This window comes from Homo sapiens, chromosome 16 (assembly GCF_000001405.40).
Source record: "Homo sapiens chromosome 16, GRCh38.p14 Primary Assembly".
NCBI lineage: Eukaryota > Metazoa > Chordata > Mammalia > Primates > Hominidae > Homo > Homo sapiens.
Window position 1 is genome coordinate 30,672,429 of NC_000016.10, and position 24,106 is coordinate 30,696,534.

At 48.2% G+C, this 24,106-nt stretch overlaps 1 pseudogene, besides 6 other annotated features; it reads right to left on the minus strand.

Moving 5' to 3' along the window:
- RNU6-416P (RNA, U6 small nuclear 416, pseudogene) lies at positions 2,872–2,974 on the minus strand (annotated as a pseudogene).
- Positions 4,423–5,323: an enhancer, noted in NCBI's record as "NANOG-H3K27ac-H3K4me1 hESC enhancer chr16:30688172-30689072 (GRCh37/hg19 assembly coordinates)". NCBI's record gives its function as "activates a minimal SCP1, AML or CMV promoter by ChIP-STARR-seq in naive H9 embryonic stem cells {active_cell/tissue: H9 hESC(naive)}" and the evidence as "EXISTENCE:reporter gene assay evidence [ECO:0000049][PMID:30033119]".
- Positions 5,324–6,223: an enhancer, noted in NCBI's record as "OCT4-NANOG-H3K27ac-H3K4me1 hESC enhancer chr16:30689073-30689972 (GRCh37/hg19 assembly coordinates)". NCBI's record gives its function as "activates a minimal SCP1, AML or CMV promoter by ChIP-STARR-seq in naive and primed H9 embryonic stem cells {active_cell/tissue: H9 hESC(naive and primed)}" and the evidence as "EXISTENCE:reporter gene assay evidence [ECO:0000049][PMID:30033119]".
- Positions 6,224–7,124: an enhancer, noted in NCBI's record as "NANOG-H3K27ac-H3K4me1 hESC enhancer chr16:30689973-30690873 (GRCh37/hg19 assembly coordinates)". NCBI's record gives its function as "activates a minimal SCP1, AML or CMV promoter by ChIP-STARR-seq in naive and primed H9 embryonic stem cells {active_cell/tissue: H9 hESC(naive and primed)}" and the evidence as "EXISTENCE:reporter gene assay evidence [ECO:0000049][PMID:30033119]".
- Positions 9,277–9,777: an enhancer, noted in NCBI's record as "H3K27ac hESC enhancer chr16:30693026-30693526 (GRCh37/hg19 assembly coordinates)". NCBI's record gives its function as "activates a minimal SCP1, AML or CMV promoter by ChIP-STARR-seq in primed H9 embryonic stem cells {active_cell/tissue: H9 hESC(primed)}" and the evidence as "EXISTENCE:reporter gene assay evidence [ECO:0000049][PMID:30033119]".
- Positions 13,299–13,457: a silencer, noted in NCBI's record as "fragment chr16:30697048-30697206 (GRCh37/hg19 assembly coordinates)". NCBI's record gives its function as "represses an EF-1alpha promoter that drives an FKBP-Casp9 reporter gene in an ReSE screen in HepG2 liver carcinoma cells {active_cell/tissue: HepG2}" and the evidence as "EXISTENCE:reporter gene assay evidence [ECO:0000049][PMID:32094911]".
- Positions 21,327–21,921: an enhancer, noted in NCBI's record as "NANOG-H3K4me1 hESC enhancer chr16:30705076-30705670 (GRCh37/hg19 assembly coordinates)". NCBI's record gives its function as "activates a minimal SCP1, AML or CMV promoter by ChIP-STARR-seq in primed H9 embryonic stem cells {active_cell/tissue: H9 hESC(primed)}" and the evidence as "EXISTENCE:reporter gene assay evidence [ECO:0000049][PMID:30033119]".

Genomic DNA, 24,106 nt, shown 5'->3' on the forward strand with positions numbered 1-24,106 from the left:
AGAACAGTTAACACACATTTATTGATTGAGTTCGCCCTCTTACATGGGCACTGTTTGTGGCACCCCAAAGCAATTACAATAGTAACATCAAAGATCACAGATCACTATAATAGATACAATAATGGAAAAGTTTGAGATAATGGGAGAATTAACCAAATGTGACTCAAACACGAAGGCCAGGCGTGGTGGTTCACGCCTGTGATCCCAGAACTTTGGGAAGCCAAGATGGGTACATCCCTGAGGTCAGGAGTTCAAGATCAGCCTGGTCAACATGGTGAAACCCTGTCTCTACTACAGAATACAAAAAGCTGGGCATGGTGGCTGACTCCTGTAGTCCCAGCTACTCAGGAGGCTGAGGCGGGAGAATCACTTGAATCCGGGAGGCGGAGGTTGCAGTGAGCTGAGATTTTCCAGCCTGGGTGACGGGGCGAGACTCTGTCTAAAAAAAAAAAAAAAAAGCAAGTCACTACTAAACTGGGCTGTCAGGGCTGTTGCCTACCTGAGCTCCTATAGAATTGACTGAGTGACCTTATTCTAAGTATGCCTGCTTTTTTTCTTTTTTGAGACAGGGTCTCACTCTATCACCCAGGTTAGAGTGTAGTAGTATGATTTCAGCTCACTGCAACCTCCACCTCCTGGGCTCAAGCAGTCCTCCCGCCTCAGCCTCCCGAGTAGCTGGGACTATAGGCATGCACCACCACACCCAGCTAGTTTTTGTATTTTTTGTAGAAACAGAATTTTTCCATGTTGCCCAGGCTGGTCTCAAACTCCTGGACTCAAGCTATCTACCCCCTTGGCCTCCCAAAGTCCAGGGATTACAGGTGTGAGCCACCACACCCAGACTTGTTTTGCTTTTGAGGCAGCTTTTGAGCAAAACAACAGCCGGTCTGTTGCCCAGGCTGGAGTACAGTGGTGCAATCACAGATCACTTCAGCCTCGAACTCCTATTCCCAAGTGATCCTCCTGCCTCAGCCTCTCGAGTAGCTGGAACTACAAGCCTGTGCCACCACATTTGGCTAGCTTTAAATTTTTGTAGAGACAGGGTTCTTGTCTTGTTGTCCAAGCTGGTCTCAAACTCCTGGTCCCAAGCAATCCTCCTGCCTCAACTTCTGAAAGCGCTGGAATTACAGGCGTGAGCCACTGTGCCTGGCCCATAAATGTACCTGTTGCCTTAGGAAAGATGCAGCCAACATTCCCTGCCACCACCACACATATCCAGGATGTCTAGGGAAGGCTCAAGCCTAGATTGCTCCAACAGAAGTCAGAAACAAGTGACCAGAAGGTGAACGTTGGCTTGCAGACAAGATTTCACATGGAAGTTCTTGTTTTCAGCTTCTCTTGAAAAATCCAAAAATCTGTGGTCACTAGACCTGCTTACCCCCATGGCTTTCCTTTGAAATGGGGCATAATCTCACCAGATTGCGACTGTCCCCTCCACTTGTTGTCTTGGAGTAGACCACAGTCACTATTCAGGCTACCTCTCTGGCCCCTATAGGCATTTGAGAGTGACTCTCAGTGAAATATTTTCTTTCTTTCTCTCTCTCTTTTTTTTTTTTTTAGACAGAGTCTTGCTCTGTTGTCCAGGCTGGAGTGCAGTGGCACAATCTCAGGTCACTGCAACCTGCGCCTCCCAGATTCAAGCGATTCTCCTGTCTCAGCCTCGCAAGTAGCTGGGATTACAGGCATGCAACACCATGCCTGGCTAATTTTTTGTATTTTTAGTAGAGACAGGAGTCACACTAAATGTTGGCCAGCCTCGTCTCGAACTCCTGACCTCAGGTGATCCGCCCGCCTCAGCCTCCCAAAATGCCGGGATTACAGGCGTGAGCCACCGTGCCCAGTAGAGTTAAATATTTTCTAGACATGCCTATCCCACCTCTCCTAGATCTCTCCCCAAGCACCTCAGATATCCCAAATTAAGTCATCTTCGAGATCTGATGCCCCACTTCCCCCAAGGTTTCCATCTCTGTGTCATCAGCACTCAAGTCAGAAACCTCCCTCTTCCCTCACTTGATGCAGTTTCTGAGCTGCCTTTGATTCTTTCAACCACTGTTGACTTCATCCACAGTGCCAGGCACTGCACTTAGTGGCTGGGGATACAGAGGTACACAAAACAAACCCCAGCCATCCTGGAGCTTACATTGGACTATGAAAGAGGACAATTACAGAAGCTAATGACAGAATTCCAAGGGCCAGGCGTGCCGTCTCTGCCTGTAATCTTTGGGAGGCTGAAGTAGGCAGATCACCTGAGGTCAGGAGTTCGAGACCAGCCTGGCCAACATGGTGAAACCCTGTCTCTATTATAAAAATACAAAAATTGCCAGGCGCGGTGGCTCACGCCTGTAATCCCAGCACTTTGGGAGGCCGAGGCAGGAGGATCACAAGGTCAGGAGATCAAGACCATCCTGGCTAACATGGTGAAACCCCGTCTCTACTAAAAATACAAAAAATTAGCCGGGCATGGTGGCGGGTGCCTGTAGTCCCAGCTACTCGGGAGGCTGAGGCAGGAGAATGGCGTGAACCCGGGAGGTGGAGCTTGCAGTGAGCCGAGATGGCGCCACTGCACTCTAGCCTGGGCGAGAGTGAGAGACTCCATCTCAAAAAAAAAAAAAAAAAATTAGCCAGGTGTGGTGGCACACACCTGTAATCCCAGCTACTCAGGAGGCTGAGGCAGGACAATCACTTGAACCTGGGAGGTGGAGGTTGCAGTGAGCCAGGATCGCTCCATTGCACTCCAGCCTGAGCGACAGAGCCAGACTCCATCTCAAAAAAGAAAAAAATTCATTTTTAATTTTTCTGGGTACATAGTAAGCGTATATATTTATGTGTTACAAGATATTTTGATACAATCATGCAATGTATAATAATCACAAAAATATGGAAAGCTTCACGAATTTGCAAGTCATCCTTGCTAAGGGGCCATGCTGACCTCTGTATAATGTTTTAGTATATGTGGCTGGGTGTGGTGGCCCACGCCTGTAATCCTAGCACTTTGGGAGGCCGAGGTGGGCGGATTGCCTGAGGCAGGAGCTTGAGACCAGCCTGGGCAACACGGTAAAACCCCGAAGTCCCTTCCTCACTCAGGCCGAGGCAGGCCCTTGAGCCCAGGAGTTCGAGACCAGCCTGAGCAACATGGTAAAACCCCGTCTCTATGAAAAATACAAAAATTAGGATGTGTCGGCCGCACGCCTGTAGTCCCAGCTACTTGGGAGACTGAGGCAAGAGGATCACTTGAGCCCAGGAGGTTGAGGCTACAGTGAGCAATGATGGCACCACTGCACTCCAGCCTGGGAGACAGAGCAAGACCTTGTCAAGAAAGAAAGAAAGAGAGAGAGAGAAGAGAGAGAGAGAGAGAGAGAGGAAGAGGAAAGTTATACATATACATGTTTGTTATTTAAAAGTAGAGATGGGAGCTGAGCACAATGGCTCTTGCCTCTAATCCCAGCACGTCAGTAACTGAGGCAGGAGGATCACTGGAGCTCAGGAGTTCAAGACCCGTCTTTATGTAAAAACAAAACCAAACACATGGCCAGGTGCAGTGGCTCACGCCTGTAATCCCAGCACTTTGGGAGGCCGAGGCAGGCGGATCACCTGAGATCAGGAATTTAAGACGAGTCTGGTCAACATGACGAAACCCCGACTCTACAAAAATATAAAAATTAGCTGGGCACAGTGGTGCACGACTGTAATCCCAGCTACTTGGGAGGCTGATGCATGAGTTGCTTGAAAACGGGAGGTGGAGGTTGCAGTGAGCCAAGATCGCACCACTGCACTCTAGCCTGGGCGACAGAGTGAGACTTCGTCTCAAAAACAAAAACAAAAACAACACAGATCTCTGTGGATAGACATTTAAGTTGTTTCTAGCATTTGTGTTATGACAAACAGGATTTCTGGAAGTATTTTTATTATTTTATTATTATTGCTGACATAAAATTCACATACCATGAAATGTACCTTTTAAAGTGTGCCATTGCAGTGGTTTTCGTATATTCACAAAGTCGTACAACCATTGCCATTATCTAATTCTGGAGCCATTCAGAAACACCCATTTTTTTATGGCCATGTGTGCATGTGTCAGAAGAAGGCACTCTTGGAGGTGCAGCTGATGGGTTGTACAACCACTGCCATTATCTAATCATGGAGACATTCAGAAACACCCATTTTGTATGGTTGTGTGTGCCTGTGTGAGCAGAAGGCACCTGTGGAGATGCAGCTGATGGGCTTTGGGGTGATGAGTCCTTCCAACGGAAAGAAAGCAGGGCCCAGAGGCTTGGGATCACCACATTACCCCTGCTACACTGAGCAATTTGCAATGACTGCCAGTCCCTCAGGAAAAGTTAGTTCTATCTGGATTTTTGCACATCGGATTTCCTTCAAGCAGGCTAGACCCTTAAATATTCCAGTTAGAACAGTCTAATGATAGGAAATGCCCCAGTAACATGGGAGTTGTAATATCTCAATTCACAGACCTTGCAGTTGTGTGGTCCTTTTAAAACCTAAGTCAGGTGATGTCATTCCTCACCTGACTTTTGAGAGTTTTCAAAACTCTCAAAAAACGGAAAAAAGCGGTGGCTTACGCCTATAATCCCAACACTTTGGGAGGCTGAGGAGGGCAGATCACAAGGTCAGGAGTTTGAGACCAGCCTGGCCAATATGGTGAAACCCTGTCTCTACTAAAAAAAAAAAAAAAAAAATTACCCGGGTGTGGTGGCGGGCGCCTGTAGTCCCAGCTACTCCGGAGGCTAAGGCAGAAGAATCGCTTGAACCCAGGAGGTGGAGCTTGCAGTGAGTCGAGATGGCGCCACTGAACTCCAGTCTAGGCGACAGAGTGAGACTCCGTCTCAACAACAAAAACAACAATATAAAAGAAAGAAAGAAAGAAAGAAAGAAAGGAAGGAAGGAAGGAAGGAAGGAAGGAAGGAAGGAAGGAAGGAAGGAAGGAAAGGAAAGAAAGAAAAGAAAAGAAACAGCCAAAATAAACAAATTCTGCAATGCCTAGCATCTCACTCACAGTAGAAGCCAAGTCCTTACAAAGGCCTGCAAAGCCCGACACAGTCTGGTTCCTGCCTACCTCCCAGCCCCGCTTTCCCAGCCCTCGCCCTCTCACTGACTCTGTTCCAACCCCTCTGGCCTCCTGGTGGGGCCTCCAGCTCACCCAGCACATGCCCACCTTGAGGACTTCACAGTGCTCTTTCATCTGCCTAACAGATTCGTGCACAGTTCCAGCCTCACTTCATTTCCCTGCTCTGTCATCCAGGCTGGAGTGTAGTGGCATGATCTCGGCTCAGGGATTACAGGTGTGCACCACCATGCCCAGCTAATTTTTGTATTTTTAGTAGAGACAGGGTTTCGCCATGTTGGCCAGGCCGGTCTTTAACTCCTGACCTCAGGTGATCTGTCCGCCTCGGTCTCCCAAAGTGCTGGGATTACAGGTGTGAGCCACCACGCCCAGCCCATGCTGGGCACTTTGTTAGGCCCCAAGGTGGTGGGCAGTGATGGGTAAGACTTATGAATGGCGTAAGCCACCACACCCGGCCCCTAAACCCGCACTTTGCTAACTGTTTGCTTTGTGATGTTCAGGCTAGTTGCCTAAACTCTCGGAGCCTGAGAGTGAACCACACCTATCACAAAGGGAAAGAGCCTTGGACTCCACTGGGCGGTGATGAGTAAAAGCTGCTGCAAATGAAAAAGGCCTCCCACAGTGCTGGGAGCACGGTCGAGGTCCACAAAACAGTAGCTATCAGGGTGATTCTTATGTAAATGCTCTGAATAATAATACCATTAACATTTATAGAACTAGGTGTCAAGCTCTGTTAGGCACCCACATCAGGCGAGATCTTCTAGTCCCTAACTCTTCCCCTAAAACCAGCTTCTGCTCGCCAAGCCCCACTGGGAATGAGGAGGAGGGGCTCTCGGTGATGCAAATGAGTGTTGACTTTTTTTTAATCAACAAAACAATGAGCCCTTAGAAGTATACAATGGAAATGTTTAGAATGTTGAAAGGAGAGAAATCAGTTAACAAGTGCTTATTGATACACTCACACCCAGCTCTACTTGTCAATAAACATTTCCCAAAGCCTGCAGATTGGAATCCAGGCGAGGGCCCTAAGGGCTGTGTGAACTGGGGCCTGTTACTTGAGGTCACTGTGTTTCAGGTTAATGCAGGAAAACAGGGAAGTAATGAGGCTGACCTGTTGGGTCTTCGGTGAAATGTGTATGAAGAGCTTGACACTTACTAGAAATGAAGCAATTTTTCTTATCTAAGGAAATCATTTTACCCCAACCCTCCCCACCTCACTCCTACTTCAGAAGTGTAGGAGGCTCCCCTAGATTCTGAGCCTTAATTCTGACATCACAGAGCCACTTTCAGTTTCCTGGGGGAAGACAGGAAGGAGGAATAATGTGTGGAATCAATACTGAGGATGCTGGCCTGGCGTGGTGGCTCATGCCTGTAATCCCATCACTTTCTGAGGCTGAGGCGAGCAGATCATCTGAAATCAGGAGTTTGAGACCAGCCTGGCCAACATGGTGAAACCCAGTGAAACCCAGTCTCTACTAAAAATACAAAAATTAGCCAGGCATGGCTATGCAGTAGGTGCACGCCTGTAATCCCAGCTACTATGGAGGCTGAGGCAGGAGAATTGCTTGAACCCAGGAGGAGGAGGTTGCAGTGAGCCAAGATCTCGCCACTGTACTCCAGCCTGGGCAATAGAGCAAGACTCCATCTCAAAAAATAAAAAATAAATTAAAAAAAGACTGAGGATGCCTAGAGCCACTGTGCTAGGTGCAGAACAGGCTAGTTAAGCAAGCAATGGAGAGATACCTAAATATATATGTATAAATATTTTTTAAATAGAGACAGGGTCTCACTATGTTGCCCAGGCTAGTCTTGAACTCCTGGCCTCAAGCAATTCTCCCACCTTGGACTCCCAAAGTGATGGGATTACAGGAGTCAGCCTCTATGCCTGGTGGAGAGATACTTTTATTTATTTATTTATTTATTTATTTAACTCAAAGTCTTGCTGTCACCCAGGCTGGAGTGCAGTGGTGTGATCTCGGCTCACTGCAACCTACACCTCCCGGGTTCACGCCATTCTCCTGCCTCAGCCTCCCAAGTAGCTGGGACTACAGGTGCCTGACACCACACCCGGCTAATTTTTTTTTAATTTTATTTTTAGTAGAGATGGGGTTTCACCGTGTTAGCCAGGATGGTCTTGATCTCCTGACCTCGTGATCCACCCGCCTCGGCCTCCCAAAGTGCTGGGATTACAGGCGGGAGCCACCGTGCCTCGCCAATTAATTTTATTTTTGAGACAGAGTCTCGCTCTGTTGCCCAGGCTGGAGTGCAGTGGTGCGATCTGGGCTCACTGCAGCCTCCACTTCCCGGGTTCAACCAATTCGCCCGCCTTGGCCCCACAAAGTGCTGGGATTACAGGTGTGAGCCACCGACCCTGGCCATGGAGAGATATTTATTTATTTATTTTTTATTTTTTAATTTTTATTTTTTGAGACGCTGTCTTGCTCTGTCACCCAGGCTGGAGTGCAGTGGCGTGATTGCAGCTTACCTCAGCCTCCGCTTCCCGGGTTCAAGCAATTCTCCTGTCTCAGCCTCCGGAGTAACTGGGATTACACGTGTGGGCCACAACGCCCAGCTAATTTTTTATTTTTAGTAGATATGAGGTTTAACTATGTTGGCCAGGGTGGTCTGGAACTCTGACCTCAAGTGATCCACGCACCTCGGCCTCTCAAAATGCTGGGATTACAGGCATGAGCTACCGCACCTCACCTGGAGAGATACTTACAGAAAAACAAAAACAAAAACAAAAACCTTACGGTGTTTCCTTATGCGTGAAGATATTCACTACAAGGGTATGGGCTGTTATGATATGTACTGGTTTTCTCCCATGGTTCCTGGCTCCTGACTCCTGTATCCCTTATTAATCTTTTGTTATAATGTGGGGTGTGTTAGGCCTCAGGAAACAGAGTCTCTCTCCTGCCCTCCTTTCACCTTCACCTGCCCCAAGGCAAGACTCTAATCTACTCCTGCCTTTCTGATTATGGGTTTTAAAACTCTCCCAGAAAAGGGTCCCACCCTACACCCTGAGGGCAGGAATGCTGATGCCATGAAGCTTCCATAAAAACTCAAGAAATTCATGGCTCACACCTGTAATCCCAGCACACTGGGAGGCCTAGGTGGGAGGACTGTTTGAGCCCCGGAGTTCCAGACCAGCCTGGGCAACATAGGGAGACCCCATCTCTACAAAAAAGTAGGCAGGTGTGGTGGCGCACGCCTTTAGTTCCAGCTGCTCAGGAGGCTGAGGTGGGAGGATCGCTTGTCCCAAGAGGTCAACGCTCCAGTGAACCATGATCATGCCACTGCACTCCAGCCTGGGTGACAGAGGGAGATCCTGCCTCAAAAAAAGAACAGAAAGATAAAAAGAAGGCCAGGGGCTGTGGCTCACACCTGTAATCCCAGCACTTAGGGTGGCTGAGGTGGGAGGATCACCTGAGGTCAGGAGTTCAAGACCAGCCTGGCCAACATGGCGAAACCTCATCTCTACTAAAAATACAAAAATTAGCCTGGTGTGGTGGTGCGTGCCTGTAGTCCCAGCTACTGGGGAGGCTGAGGCACAAAAATCATTTGAACCCAGTAGGTGGAGGTTGCAGTGAGCTGAGATCATGCCACTGCACTCCAGCCTCAGCCACAGAACGAGACTTCGCCTCAGGAGAAAAAAAAGAAGAAGAAGAAAGAAGAAGAAGAAGGAGAAGGAGGAGGAGGAGGAGGAGGAGGAGAAGGAGAAGGAGAAGAAGAAGAAGAGACAAGATCCAAAAGGACAAGGTTTCAGTGAGACTTCATCTCAGGAGAGAAAAAAAAAAAAAGAGAAAAGACACAAAAGGACAAGGTTCAGTGAGCTTCTGGATAGCTGAACAGGCTCCTTCCCCCATACCTCAACCTACGCTCTGTCTAGGCGACAGAGCGAGACTCCGGCTCAAAATATATATGTAAAATAAAATGAAAAAATAAAATAAAATATTGTTTCTAGAGGTAGAGAACGGAAACAACTCAAGTGTTCAAAGTAGGAGATTGATTAAATAAATCCTATGAGGTTGATCCCAATGTGTAGATCTGAAATAATCTTCAATATTTATTATTAATTAGTAAATATCGATATTATCTTGTATTCATGGATAGAAAGACTCAATATTGTAAATATGTAAATTTTCTTCAATTTGTTCCATACAAGGCAATGCAATGCTAACAAAAATCACAACAGGAATTTTCATGAAACTTGCCAAGCCAATTAAAAAATATGCATAGGGACGGGCGTGGTGGCTCACGCCTGTAATCCCAGCACTTTGGGAGGCCGAGGTGGGTGGATCACGAGGTCAGGACATCAACACCATCCTGGCTAACACAGTGAAACCCCGTCTCTACTAAAAATACAAAAAATTAGCCGGGCGTGGTGGCGGGCGCCTGTAGTCCCAGCTACTCAGGAGGCTGAGGCAGGAGAATGGTGGGAACCCGGGAGGCAGAGCTTTCAGTGAGCTGAGATCGCGCCACTGCACTCCAGCCTGGGGGACAGAGTGAGACTCTGTCTCGAAAACAAAAACAACAACAAAAATACGTATAGGAGGCCGGGTGCGGTGGCTCATGCCTGTAATCCTAGCACTTTGGGAGGCTGAGGCGGGCAGATCATGAGATCAGGAGATCGAGACCATCCTGGCTAACGCGGTGAAACCCCATCTCTACTAAAAATACAAAAAATTAGCTGGGCATGGTGGCGGGTGCCTGTAGTCCCAGCTACTCGGGAGGCTGAAGCGGGAGAATCGCTTGAACCCAGGAGGCGGAGGTTGCAGTGAGCCGAAATCGCGCCACTGCACCCCAGCCTGGGCAACAGAGCGAGACTCCATCTCAAAAAAAAAAAAAAAAAAAGTATAGGAAGGGCTCAGAACAGAAAGATACTCCTGAAGAAAAAGGGAGAGGAGATTTGCTCCACCAGAATTGTTATAGAGCTGTGGCAAAAAAGATGAGGTAGTGTTGCTAGGGGTAGGAAGTCACCAAAATTAACTCATGAATATATGAAACTTTAATAATGACAGGGTGGTATGCCAGATCAAAGGAGGTGCTCATCAATAAATGGAGATGGGCTGGGCGCGGTGGCTCATGCCTGTAATCCCAACACTTTGGGAGACCGAGGCGGGCAGATCACCTTAGGTCAGGAGTTTGAGACCAGCCTGGCCAACATGGTGAAACCCCATCTCTACTAAAAATGCAAAAATTATCCCAGCGTGGTGGCACATGCCTATAATCCCAGATACTCGGGAGGCTGAGGCAGGAGAATTGCTTGAATCCGGGGGCGGATGCTGCAGTGAGCAGAGATCATGCCACTGCACTCCAGCCTGGGTGACAGAGCAAGATTCTGTTTCTCCCATATGGAAAGAAAGGTCATCCATATGGGAGAAGATGAAATTAAATCAGTGACCTGCCGGGCGCAGTGGCTCGTGCCTATAATCCCAGCACTTTGGGAGGCCGAGGCAGTTGGATCACGAGGTCAGGAGTTCGAGACCAGCCTGGCCAAGATGGTGAAACACTGTCTCTACTAAAAATACAAAAATTAGCAAGGCACAGTGGTGGGCGCCTGTAATCCCAGCTACTTGGGAGGCTGAGGCAGAAGAATTGCTTGAACCTGGGAGGCAGAGGTTTCAGTGAGCCGAGATCATGCCACTGCACTCTAGCCTGGGCAACAGAGCAAGACTCTGTCTCCAAAAAAAAAAAAAAAATCAGTGAAAAAATCAGTGACCCACACTATATTCAAAAGTCAACTCAATATATAAGGACTTAATTATCAAAAGCAAAACTAAAACTTTAAGGAGAAAAGTAAGGGAATTTCTTTCTGAAGTTGGGAGTAATGAAAACTCAAACAACACAAAAGGTTAACTATAAAAGAAAATAGTAATGAATGAAACTATACTAAAATGAATGAAATTATAAGCTACAAACTTGAAGAAGATATGTGTAAACACATATAGCCATTCAAAAATATATACTGAGATAACCTAAAGGCCTTGTAAAAATCAGTAAAGCCAGCCAGGCATGGTGGCTCAAGCCTGTAATCCCAGCACTTTGGGAGGCCAAGGTGGGTGGATCACGAGGTCAGGAGATCGAGACCATACTGGCTAACATGGTGAAACCCCGTCTCTACTAAAAATACAAAAAAAATTAGCCAGGCATGGTGGCGGGCACCTGTAGTCTCAGCTACTCGGGAGGCTGAGGCAGGAGAATGGTGTGAACCCAGGAGGAGGAGCTTGGAGTGAGCCAAGATCGCGCCACTGTACTCCAGCCTGGGCAACTGAGCAAGACTCCGTCTCAAAAAAAAAAAAAAAAAAGAAAAAGAAAAAGAAAAAATCAGTAAAGCCAGCCTGTGCAACATAGTAAGACTGTCTCTACTGAAAAAAAAATTAGTCGGGTATGGTGGTGTGCAACTGTAGTCTCAGCTACTCAGGAGGCTGAGGAGGGAGGATCACTTTAGCACAGGAGTTCGAGGCTTCAGTGAACTATGTCATGCCACTGTACTCTAGCCTGGGCAACAGAGCGAAACCCTGTCTTGAAAAAATCAATAAATGACAATAAGCTAGTAGAAAAATGGACACAAGACTTGAACATGCATTTCAACAAGAACGAAACATGGCTAAAAAGCTTATGAAGAGATGCTCACCATCATTAGTGATCAAGGAAATATAGATTGAGATCATAATGAGATACTATTTTATACCCAGTATATGGCAAAAATTAAGAAGTCAGATAACACCAAGTATTGAACAACAGATCTTCTATACATTGCTGGAGGGAATCTGTATCTGTACAGCCATTTTGAAGAAGATTATCTTTTTTTTTTTTTTGAGACAGAGTCTTGCTCTGTTGCCCAAGCTGGAGTACAATGGTACGATTTCGGCTCACTGCAGCCTCTGCCTCAGCCTCCCAAGTAGCTGGGGACTAAAGGTGCATGCCACCACACCCGGCTAACTTTTGTATTTTCTGGTGGAGATGGGATTTCACCATGTTGCCCAGGCTAGTCTTGAACTCTTGGCCTCAAGTGATCCACCTACCTCGGCCTCCCAAATGCTGGGATTACGGGCCTGAGCCACCGCGCCCAGCCAAAAATTATCATTATCTTGTCAAATTGAACATTTACATACCTTAAAACCCAGCAGTTCCATTTTTGGGCAAATATCCAGGAGTAAGTCTTGCTCAAGTGTTCCAGGAGACATGTACATGAATATTCATAACTGCAGTCAACATATGATAGAAACACTCATAAAGAAACCAAAATGCCCTTCAACAGGAGAACAGATAAATACATTGGGGTACCTTGACAAAATAAAATATTATAAAAGAGTGAAATTTCGGCTGGGCGCGGTGGCTCACGCCTGTAATCCCAGCACTTTGGGAGGCCGAGGCGGGTGGATCACGAGGTCAGGAGATCGAGACCATCCTGGCTAACATGGTGAAACCCCGTCTTCACTAAAAATACAAAAAGTTCTCCGGGCGTGGTGGTGGGCGCCTGTAGTCCCAGCTACTCGGGAGGCTGAGGCAGGAGAATGACGTGAGCCCAGGAGGCAGAGCTTGCAGTGAGCGGAGATCGCGCCACTGCACTATAGCCTGGGCGACAGAGCAACACTCCATCTCAAAAAAAAAAAAAAAAAAAAAAGTGAAATTTCAATGAACCACAGCCACACATAAAAGTATGAATGATTTTTGTCAATACAATATCGAGTGTAAAAAAGAAACAGCTTGCCAGGCGCGGTGGCTCACGCCTGTAATCCCAGCATTTTGGGAGGCCGAGGTGGGCGGATCATGAGATCAGGAGATTGAGACCATCCTGGCTAACACAGTGAAACCCCGCCTCTACTAAAAATACAAAAAATTATCCGGGCGTGGTGGCGGGTGCCTGTAGTCCCAGCTACTCGGGAGGCTGAGGCAGGAGAATGGCGTGAACCCAGGAGGCGGAGCTTGCAGTGAGCCGAGATTGCGCCACTGCACTCCAGCCTGGGCAACAGAGCGAGACTCCGTCTCAAAAAGAAAGAAAGAAACAGCTCTAGAGGATTACATACACCATTATACTCTTTTATTATTACTTTTTAAATTTTATTTACTTATTTATTTACTTTGAGACGGAGTCTTGCGTTGTCGCCCAGGCAGGAATGCAGTGGCGCGATCCCGCCTCACTGCAACCTCCACCTCCCAGGTTCAAGTGATTCTCCCACCTCAGCCTCCAGAGTAGCTAGGCATACAGGAGCGCACCATCATGCCTGGCTAATTTTTTGGTATTTTTAGTACACAACGGAGTTTCACTATGTTGGCCAGGATGGTCTCGAACTCCTGACCTCAGGTGATCTGCCCGCCTCAGCCTCCCAAAGTGCTGGGATTACAGGCGTGAGCCACTGTGCCTGGCTCATCGTCCTTTCTTTCTAAAGCTTGCACATACGCCATTTACGGTTACAGCACAATTGAATCAAACAATCCCTAACTACTGCAGTTTTTTCTTTTTGTTTTTGTTTGAGACAGAGTCTCGCTCTGTCGCCCAGGTTAGAGTGCAGTGGCACCATCTCAGCTCACTGCAACCTCCACCTCCCGGGTTCAAGCGATTCTCCTGCCTCAGCCTCCTGAGTAGCTGGGATTACAGGCATGCGCCACCATCCCTGGCCAATTTTGTATTTTTAGTAGAGACAGGGTTACTCCATGTTGGTCAGGCTGGTCTCGAACTTCTGACCTCAGGTGATCTACCTGTCTCAGGCCTCCCAAAGTGCTGGGATTACAGGTGTGAGCCACCGTGCCTGGAAAGTTTACTTTTTAAGTTCTTTTTTTGTCTTTTCTTCCCTTTCTACCTATAATCCTGTTAAAAAAAAAAAAAGCTTTTAATTAAAAATACATTCCCCGGCTGGGCACAATGGCTCACGCCTATAATCCCAGCACTTTGGGAGGCCCAGGCAGGCAGATGACCTGAGATCAGGAGTTCGAGACCAGCCTGGGCAAAATAGCAAAACCCCGTCTCTACTAAAAATATAAAAATTAGCTGGGCGTGGTGGCCCACGCCTGTAATCCCAGCTACTCCGGAGGCTGAGGCAGTAGAATCACTTGAACCCAGGATGCGGCGGTTGCAGTGAGCCAAGATCATGCCACTGCACTCCAGCCTGGGCGATAAGAGCAAAACTCCGTCACACACACATACACGCACCCACCCAATGGAAAAAATTGAAAAATATAACACACCAGCAGAGTGTATAAAACACATGCATTCTTAAAAAAAGTAACTAGATGGCCGGGCGCAGTGGCCCACACCTGTAATCCTAGCATTTTGGGAGGCCAAGGCGGGTGGATCACCTGAGGTCGGGAGTTCGAGACCAGCCTGGCCAACATGGTGAAACCCCGTCCCTACTAAAAATACAAAAAATTAGCCGGGCATTCATTGTGGTGGGTGCATGTAATCCCAGCTACTCGAAAGGGTGAGGCAGGAGAATTGCTTGAACCCAGGAGGCGGATATTGCAGTGAGCCGAGATCTTGCCATTGCACTCCAGCCTGGCAACAATAGTGAAACTCCTTCTCAAAAAAAAACAAAAAAAAAAACAAAAAAAACCCAAAAAAATCCAAAGTAACTATAAGCCGGGTGCTGTAGCTCACGCCTGTAATGCCAGCACTTTGGGAGGCCTCCGAGGCAGGCGGATCACCTGAGGACAACATGGTGAAACTGTCTCTACTAAAAATACAGAAAACTTAGCTGGGCATGGTGGCTCATGCCTGTAATCCCAGCTACTCAGGAAGCTGAGGCAGGAGAATCGTTTGAACCCAGGAGGAGGAGGTTGCAGTGAGCCGAGGTCAGGCCCACTGCACTCCAGCCTGGGGGACAGAGGGAGATTCTGTCTCAAAAATAAATAAATAGTAACGATAAAGCAAACATTTGTTTTACCTCTACCTTAAAAACATTTTCAGTAGTTGTTGTTTTGTAAAGACAGGGTCTGACTATGTTTCACCTGCTGGTCTGGAACTCCTGGACTCAAGCAATCCTCTTTCCTCAGCCTCCCAAAGTGTTGAGATTACAGGCGTGAGCCACTGCTCCCGGCCAGTTGTTTTTAAGTTTAAAAAATAAGTATAACAAACACCTGTGGCCTGCGCCTGTAATCCCAGCTACTCAGGAGGCTGAGGCAGGAGAATCGCTTGAACCCAGGAGACAGAGGTTGCAGTGAGCTGAGATCGCGCCACTACACTCCAGCCTGGCAACGAGTAACACTCTGTCTCAAACAACAACAACAAAAACACACCAAAAAAACACCTGTGTACCACTCTCCAGGAATTAACAAACACATTCTGCTATTTTTTTGTTTTGTTTCCTTTTTTTTTTCTAACAAGACCACAAAACAGAAGGTACTTATTCTACACACCTTTTTTTTTTTTTTTTTTTTTTAGAATGCAGTACTTAATGGTCACTCTTTTGTGAGTCACTTAATGGATCAAGGCTTTTCTTATTTATTGTATGTCATGTGACCTCAGCCAATATTCTCCTTTTGTTGTTGTTGTTTTGTGTTTGTTTGTTTTGAGGTGGAGTCTCACTGTTGCCCAAGGATGGAGTGTAGTGGCGTAATCTCGGCTCACTGAAAACTCAGCTTCCTGGGTTCAAGAATTTTTTTTAATTTTTTTTGAGATGGACTCTCGCTCTGTTGCCCAGACTGGAGTGCAGTGACGTGATCTCGGCTCACTGCAACCTCTGCCTCCCGGGTTCAAGCAATTCTCTGCCTCAGCCTCCCAAGTACCTGGGATTACAGGCGCCTGCCAAGATTACCCACTAATTTTTTTGTGTTTTTAATAGAGACGGGGTTTCGCTATCTTGGCCAGGCTGGTCTTGAACTCCTGACCTCATGATCCACCCGCCTCGGCCTCCCAAAGTGCTGGGATTAGGCATGAGCCACCGTGCCCGGCCGAATAATTTTTTAATTCAAATAAAAAAGTTTGGGCATGCTTACAGTCCCTCCGACAGCAGTGTGTGCACCTAGCTGCCCATACCCTTCCTAGAACTGGGTGTCATAATTACAGTTTCCTTCTCATAAGGTTGGGATGTTTTGGATTCGTGTGTTTGCTTAAGATGTGCTGGGTTCAACCCACGAAGGCTCTGTGCTTGGCTGTGTTCTGAGAAGTTTTCAGTCCTTGTGGAGAGGAGAGGTATTCTAGCACCCTCTCCTAGCCTCCTGGGACCTCAGCCACCCACAACTGCCTTCCAGAGTTTCCTCGCAGAGGTTCCCCAGAAGAGTTATTTGCTAAATCTGTCAACCTTACCACCACATTCCCTTTCTGCTTAAAGATTTCAATCTCCATCACCTTTTACCTAGACTACAGCAGTCACTTAGACTCTTATCCCAACAGTCCGTTGTCAGCACGTTGTATCTGGCCTCTGCTCAAAGCCCTCCTGCTACACTTCACATTCCATCTAAGCTCCTTAGCTTGGTCTTCAAAGCCCTGCCAGATGCAGGCCTGATCCTCTTCTAAGACCGCATCTCCCACTGTTCCCCTTCCCCTGCAGTCTCCTGGTGGGTTCCTGGCAGGATAAGCTGGGTCTAGCCTCAGGGACTTTGTACTTATTATTATTATTATTTTATGAGACAGAGTTTTGCTCTTGTCACCCAGGCTGGAGTACAATGGAATGATCTTGGCTCACTGCAACCTCCACTTCCTGGGTTCAAGCGATTCTCCTACCTCAGCCTCCCAAGTAGCTGGGAGTACAGGTGCTCGCCACCAGGCCCAGCAAATTTTTGTAGTAGAGATGGGTTTTCACCATGTTGGCCAGGCTGGTCTCGAACTCCTGATCTCAGGTGATACACCTGCTTCAGCCTTCCAAAGTGCTGAGATTATAGGCGTGAGCCACCGCGCCCGGCCCCTTTGTACTTATTTACCTCTGCTTAGGATGCTCTTCCCCCAGAGCGTCTCTGTTCAAATGTCACCACACTAGAGAGGCCCTCCCAGACAATCTTGTCTAAAATAATGCCTCTTCTGCCCCTCACCCGAGCTCATCCACCCCACTTCATTTTTTCATAACACGTATCAGCCATTATTATATTTTATTTTATTCATTTATTGAGATAGAGTCTCGCTGTGTCGCCCAGGCTGGAGTGCAGTGGCACAGTCTGGGCTCACTGCAACCTCTACCCCCCAGGTTCAAGTAATTCTCCTGCCTCAGCCTCCCCAGTAGCTGGGACTACAGGCAGGGGCCACCACGCCTGGCTAATTTTTTTTTTTTTTTTTTTTTGAGACAGAGTCTCGCTCTGTCGCCCAGGCTATAGTGCAGTGACGGTGGCACGATCTTGGCTCACTGCAACCTCCGCCTCCCGGGTTCAAGTGATTCTTCTGCCTCAGCCTCCCGAGTAGCTGGGAGTACAAGTGCCTGCCACCACGCCTGGCTAATTTTTGTATTTTTAGTAGAGACGGGATTTCATCATATTGGCCAGGCTGATCTCGAACTCCTGACCTTGTGATCTGCCTGCCTCAGCCTCCCCAAGTACTGGGATTACAGGCGTAAGCCACCATGCCCAGCCAACCATCATTATTTTATATTCACACTTATTTATATGTTTGTTATTTGTCTTCTCCCACCAGGAATGTAAGCTTGATAAAAACTGAAACCTTGAGTGTTTTACTTGTTTGTGTTTCCAACATTATCTCCCCAGTGCCTAGAATAATGCCTGGCACATGGTAGATGGACTCAGATGCTAGACCTGGATTTGACAAGGTGTACTGCACAGCAGTTAAGAGCACAAATGTAGCTGGGCACAGTGGCTCATGCCTGTAATCCCTGCACTTCGAGAGGCTGAGGCAGGAGGATTGCTTGAAACCAGGAGTTGAAGGCCAGCCTGGGCAACAAAGCAGGACCTCATCTCTCTCTTTTTTTTATTTTTATTTATTTATTTTTTTTGAGATGGAGTTTTGCTTGTCACCCAGGCTGGAGTGCAATGGCGCAATCTTGGCTCACTGCAACCTCTGCCTCCTGGGTTCAAGTGATTCTCCTGCCTCAGACTCCCAAGAAGCTGGGATTACAGGCACGAACCACCAAGTCGGCCATTTTTTTGTATTTTTAGTAGAGGCGGGGTTTCACCTTGTTGGCCAGGCTGGTCTCCAACTCCTGACCTCAGGTGATTCCATCTGCCTCCGTCTCCCAAAGTGCTGGGATTATAGGCATGAGCCACTGCGCATGGCAAGACCTCATCTCTTAAGAAAAGTCAGCCAGCCATGGTGGCTGGCACCTATGGTCTTAGCTACTCAGGAGGCTGAGGCAGGAGGATCACTTGAGCCCATGAATTTGAAGCTAAAGTGAGCTATGATGCCCACCACTGCCCTCCAGCTCCAGTCTCGGCAAAGAGTGAGACCATCTCTTGGGGAAAAAAAAAAAAAGCACAAAAATGAGTCAAGTCCCTCTGGGTTGACAGCAGTCCCTGTGTTGTTCTTTTTCAGCTCCGTAACTTGCGACGTTACTTAACCATCCTTTTCACCATCTATAAAAGAAGGATGGTAATCTATTTTTTTTTTTTTTGAAGCAGAGTTTCACTCTCGTTGCCCAGGCTGGAGTGCAATGGTGCGATGTCGGCTCACCACAACATCTGCCTCCCAGGTTCAAGCAATTCTCTTGCCTCAGCCTCCTGAGTAGCTGGGATTACAGGCATGTGCCACAACGCCCAGCTAATTTTGTATTATCAATAGAGACGGGGTTTCTCCATGTTGGTCAGGCTGGTCTCGACCTCCCGACCTCAGGTGATCCACCCATCTCGGCCTCCCAAAGTGCTGGAATTACAGGCGTGAGCCACCACGCCTGGCCGACAATCTATGTAACATAATTGTGAGAATTAAGTGAGTTAATTCATGTAAATACACAGGTTGGTGCTTAGTGCTTGTCATTATTATACTTCTTGAGTGAATTTAACACATAGTATCCAGGTGCAGTGGCTCACGCCTGTAATACCAGCACTTTGGGAGGCCGAGGCGGGTGGATCACCTGAGCGGGAGTTTGAGACCAGCCTGACTAAGATGGCGAAACCCTGTGTCTACTAAAAATACAAACAAACAAACAAACAAAAATATTGGCCGGACATGGTGGTGTGTGCCTGTAATCCCAGCTACCCTGGAGGCTGAGGCAGGGGAATTGCTTAAACCTGGGAGGTGGAGGTTGTAGTGAGCCGAGATTGCACCACTGCACTCCAGCCTGGGCAAGGGAGCGAGACTCCGCCTTAAAAAAAAAAAATTAGCACATATGAGCTATTGCCGTCATGCAACAAGCAGGCATCAACCAAGCCCAAGGTGTGGATATTTATGATGTGCGTGGCACTCCCCCAGACAGTGGACATAGATGGGCATGCATTAAAGTGAACGAGACAGAGGTAAACCCAAGGAATTATTCGTAGAGTGCAGATAAGCAAAAAAAGCAGACTGTTACAGGAGATATAGCGTAGTCTGAGGGCAGGAAAGGCTTCTGGAAGCAGTGACTTTGTCCTAGGACTAAGGATGTGTAGGTTGTAACTGCATGGAAGGAAAGAGAGAAGCAAGTGTGAGAAAGCTCAGAACAGAGAAAAGAACCTGCAGAGAGACAGCAGTGGCTGGAGTGCAGGGCACTGGGAGAGATGAGGCTAGATAATCTGCCAAGGGCTTATCACGCAGGGCCCAGGGGCCTCGGAAAGGGTTTTCACAGGAGCCATGAAAGGACCTGAAGGAGAGTGACTCTGTCCGATCTGCAGTGAGACAAGTTTCCCCTGGCTGCTGTGTGGAGACATCTTCTTCAGGTCTCCATCCAACTTTCACTTCACCAGAGTCCCCCTGGTTTAAAAGGGCCCCTCCCCTGCCCCTCTCTACCTGCTTTATAATGTAATTGCCCTCGCCATTCCCTAACATTATGTCACGCTCTCAATTGCTGGTTCCGATTCCCCCACTGCAATGGATACCACACGGGAACTGGGTTTTGGTGGGGCAGGAGAGACTGGCCACACAAAGATCAATTAGGAGGGTGGTACAGCCTGCTTCGGATCCAGATTTTTGACTTGCCAGGGGGGTTAGGAGCAGCTGTTGGGATGGAAGAGAGCAGGAGGCAGGACTCAGTTCACCTGGAAACTTCATTTGCATAGCACTTTACATAAGACTGAGAAACATCAACTGTCCATATCAAAGAATGGGACGGGGAAGCTATTGGAAACCATGGTGGTGGCGCTAAAGTTTCTAACCAGCCAGTTCTTGGGGTTATAAATCATCAAGGGCTTAAGTATCTCCCATAGGAGTGAAGAGAAACAGATAGAATGGAGAAGTGTTTAAAATGTAACGCACAAGACTTGGCGTCTGGATGTGGGGCATGAGGAAAAGGGAAAGTGATGCCTACATTTCTAGCTTGAGCAATTGAGTGGATGGTGCCATCTCCTCAGAGCAGAGGGAGGAGGAGCAAGTTTTGTGGTTCAGATGGTGAGTTCACTTTTTTTTTTTTTTTTTTTTTTGAAATGGAGTCTCGCTCTGTTACCAGGCTGGAGTGCAATGGCGTGATCTCTGCTCACTGCAACCTCCGCCTCCTGGGTTCAAGCAATTCTCCTGCCTCATCCTCCCGAGTAGCTGGGACTACAGATGCCTGCCACCACACCTGGCTAATTTTTGTATTTTTAGTAGAGACGGAGTTTCACCATGTTGGCCAGGATGGTCTCGATTTCTTGACCTCGTGCTCCACCTGCCTCTGCCTCCCAAAGTGCTGGGATTACAGACATGAGCCACCGCACCCAGCCTTGTTTTGCCCAGGCTGGAGTGCAGTGGCATGATCTCTGCTCATTGCAACCTCTGCTTCCTGGTTCAAGCGATTCTCCTGCCTTAGCCTCCCGAATAGCTGGGATTACAGGCGTGAGCCACCACACCCAGCTAATTTTGGTATTTTTAGTAGAGACAGGGCTTCACCATGTTGGCCACGGCTGGTCTCGAACTCTTGACCTCAGGCGATCTGCCTGCCTTGGCCTTCCAAAGTGCTGGGATTACAGGTGTGAGCCACCAGCCTGGCTGTGAGTTCACTTTGGATGGAGGAGTCCAAGGTTCCTAGGGAGCCTCCTGCATGAGGATTCCAGGAGTTAGAGGATTCTGAGCTGGGGATAGTCCTTAAGAGATGGTAGTTGGAATAAACATGGAAATCATGAGAAATTACTGGGGCCTTAGAGATTAATGCCCCTTTTTTTTCCCCTGAGATGTCTTTAGGCAAATCACCAGAAATGCTTATATGGGAGTGCTTTCCAGTTACAACCTGGCTTCTCCACCTCACCTTGATGGTTCTGTAACCCCCAGCCACTAATAGCAATGGAAGGTCCATTAAAGGGAGGAGTCCTGGAAGCTGAAGCTTCATTAGTTTTACAATATCTGCCTCAGCCCTTGAAGACTTGGATGAGAGGAGGCAGTTGAGGCAAGAATCCTTAGCAGCCCCACCAATTGATGGAGGGGGCCAGAAGTGTCCTGTGGGGAGAGGGAGAAGGAAAGGGAGTGGCCAGGGAGGTGGGAGGAGCCTGGGAAAGACTGGAATCACAGAAGGAACCATGTTTAGAGGATCATCATCACTAGCAATCAACGGCCAAGTTCTGCTAATTTTTCCTTTAGTCTCTACCCCCATCTCCACTGCCACCTCCTGGCCAACAGCTCCCATTACACACAGGTGACTGCTGGTATCCTCCCTGTCTTTAGCCTTACAGACATATCACGCATCTTGTTACATACATCACCCTTCATAAAGTGGAACATGGGTCATGCCAATCTTTTTTTTTTTTTTTTTGAGATGGAGTCTGGCTCTGTCGCCAGGCTGGAGTGCAGTGGCACGATCTCAGCTCACTGCAACCTCTGCCTCCCGGGTTCAAGCGATTCTCCTGCCTCAGCCTCCCGAGTAGCTGGGACTACAGGCGGGGGCCACCACGCCTGGCTAATATATATATATTTTTTGAGACAGAGTCTTGCTCTGTCGCCCAGGCTAGAGTGCAGTGGCGGTGGCGCAATCTTGGCTCACTGCAACCTCCGCCTCTCGGGTTCAAGCGATTCTTCTGCCTCAGCCTCTGGAGTAGCTGGGAGTACAAGTGCCTGCCACCACACCCGGCTAATTTTTGTATTTTTAGTAGAGATGATGGGGTTTCACCATGTTGGCCAGGATGGTCTCAATCTCTTGACCTCGTGATCCGCCCGCCTTGACCTCCCAAAGTGCTGGGATTACAGGTGTGAGCCACCGTGCCCGGCCTGGATCATGCCAATCTTTTGCTTAACAACTTTCAATAGCTCCCTGTCACTTCCAAACGAATGCCCCATACCTAGCCTAGCATGCTGGGCCCTTAGCCGCTTGGAGCTAGGTGATCTCTCCAACAGTGTCTCAACCCGCTCCCTCATAAAGAAGACAAGCTGGGGCCGGGTGTGGTAGCTCACGCCTGTAGTCCCAGCACTTTGGGAGGCTGAGACAGGAGGGTTGCTTGAGGCCAAGAGTTCAAGACCAACCTGGGCAACATAGCGAGACCTCCCACTTTCACTACAAAAAAATAAAAAATAGCCAGGCCTGGTGGTGTGCACCTGTAGTCTCAGCTACTTGGAAGGCTGAGGTGGGAGGATCACCTGAGCCCAGGAGGTTGAGGCTGCAGTGAGCTATGATCGCACCACTGCACTCCAGACTGGGGCACAAGCTGATTCACTGTCCCCCATTCCCCGCCCTCCTCCGGCAACCATCAGCCTTGTGGAGGCTGTGTCATCTTCCTGGAGTGCCTGCCTTCATGCCTAAATTTTTCAAGGCCAGGCTCAAATGATACTTCCCTAGGAAGCCTTCCCTGATACCCCACTGGGTATCCAACCTGACCCTTGGAGAGTTCCTTGACCACCCTTCTTTTGAGACACCGCAACACTGCCATGCCTTTTACCAAGCTCACAGCTCATCCTGCAATGAGACTAAGTTCTTAAGAGCAGGGACTGTGCCATCTTCCCTCCTCTCTCCCACTGCACACAGCACAGGGCCAGATAGGAAACAGGCAGAGGAAATGCTGGTTAGGAGAACATGCTCGTTGACACGCTTGTGTATAAACAAGAGGTCACAAGTTTAACTGCCTTTAGGTGCCAGATATGACAAATGTGTTAAGTTGCCCCGTGCAAAACAATTGGGAATGGTGGGGCCTACGGCACATCGGAGACGTCATTCTCTTGCCTGAAGTAATTTTTCTTTTCTTTTTTTTTTTTGAGATGGAGTTTTGCTCTTGTTGCCCAGGCTGGAGTGCAATGGCGTGATCTTGGCTCACCGCAATCTCTGCCTCCCAAGTTCAAGCAATTCTCCTACTTCAGCCTCCCGAATAGCTGGGATTACAGACATGCGCCACCACACCTGGCTAATTTTGTATTTTTAGTAGAGACGGGGTTTCTCCACGTTGGTCAGGCTGGTCTCGAACTCCCGACCTCAGGTGATCCACCTGCCTCGGCATCCCAAAGTGTTGGGATTACAGGCGTGAGCCACCGTGCCTGGCTTCCTGAAGTTTTAATAATACCCAGAACATGAAAACACTGTGTAAAGCAGCTGGGCGTGGTGACTCAAGCCTGTAGTACCAGCACTTTGGGAGGCTGAGGCAGGCAGATCACCTGAGTCCAGGAGTTCGAGACCAGCCTGGCCAACATGGTGAAACCCCGTCTCTAGGCCAGGCGTGGTAGCTCACGCCTGTAATCCCAGTACTTTGGGAGGCCCAGGTGGGCGGATCACGAGGTCAGGAGATCGAGACCATCCTGGCTAACACGGTGAAACCCCGTCTCTACTAAAAATACAAAAAATTAGCCAGGCGTGGTGGCAGGCGCATGTAGTCCCAGCTACTCGGGAGGCTGAGGCAGGAGAATGGCATGAAACTGGGAGGCGGAGCTTGCAGTGAGCCGAGATTGAGCCACTGAACTCCAGCCTGGGGGACAGAGCAAGACTCCGTCTCAAAAAAAAAAAAAAAAAAAAAAAAGAAACCCCGGCTCTATTAAAAATACAAAAATTAGTTGGGCATGGTGGCCAGTGCCTGTAATCCCAGCTACTTGGGAGGCTGAGGCATAAGAATTGCTTGAACCCGGGAGGC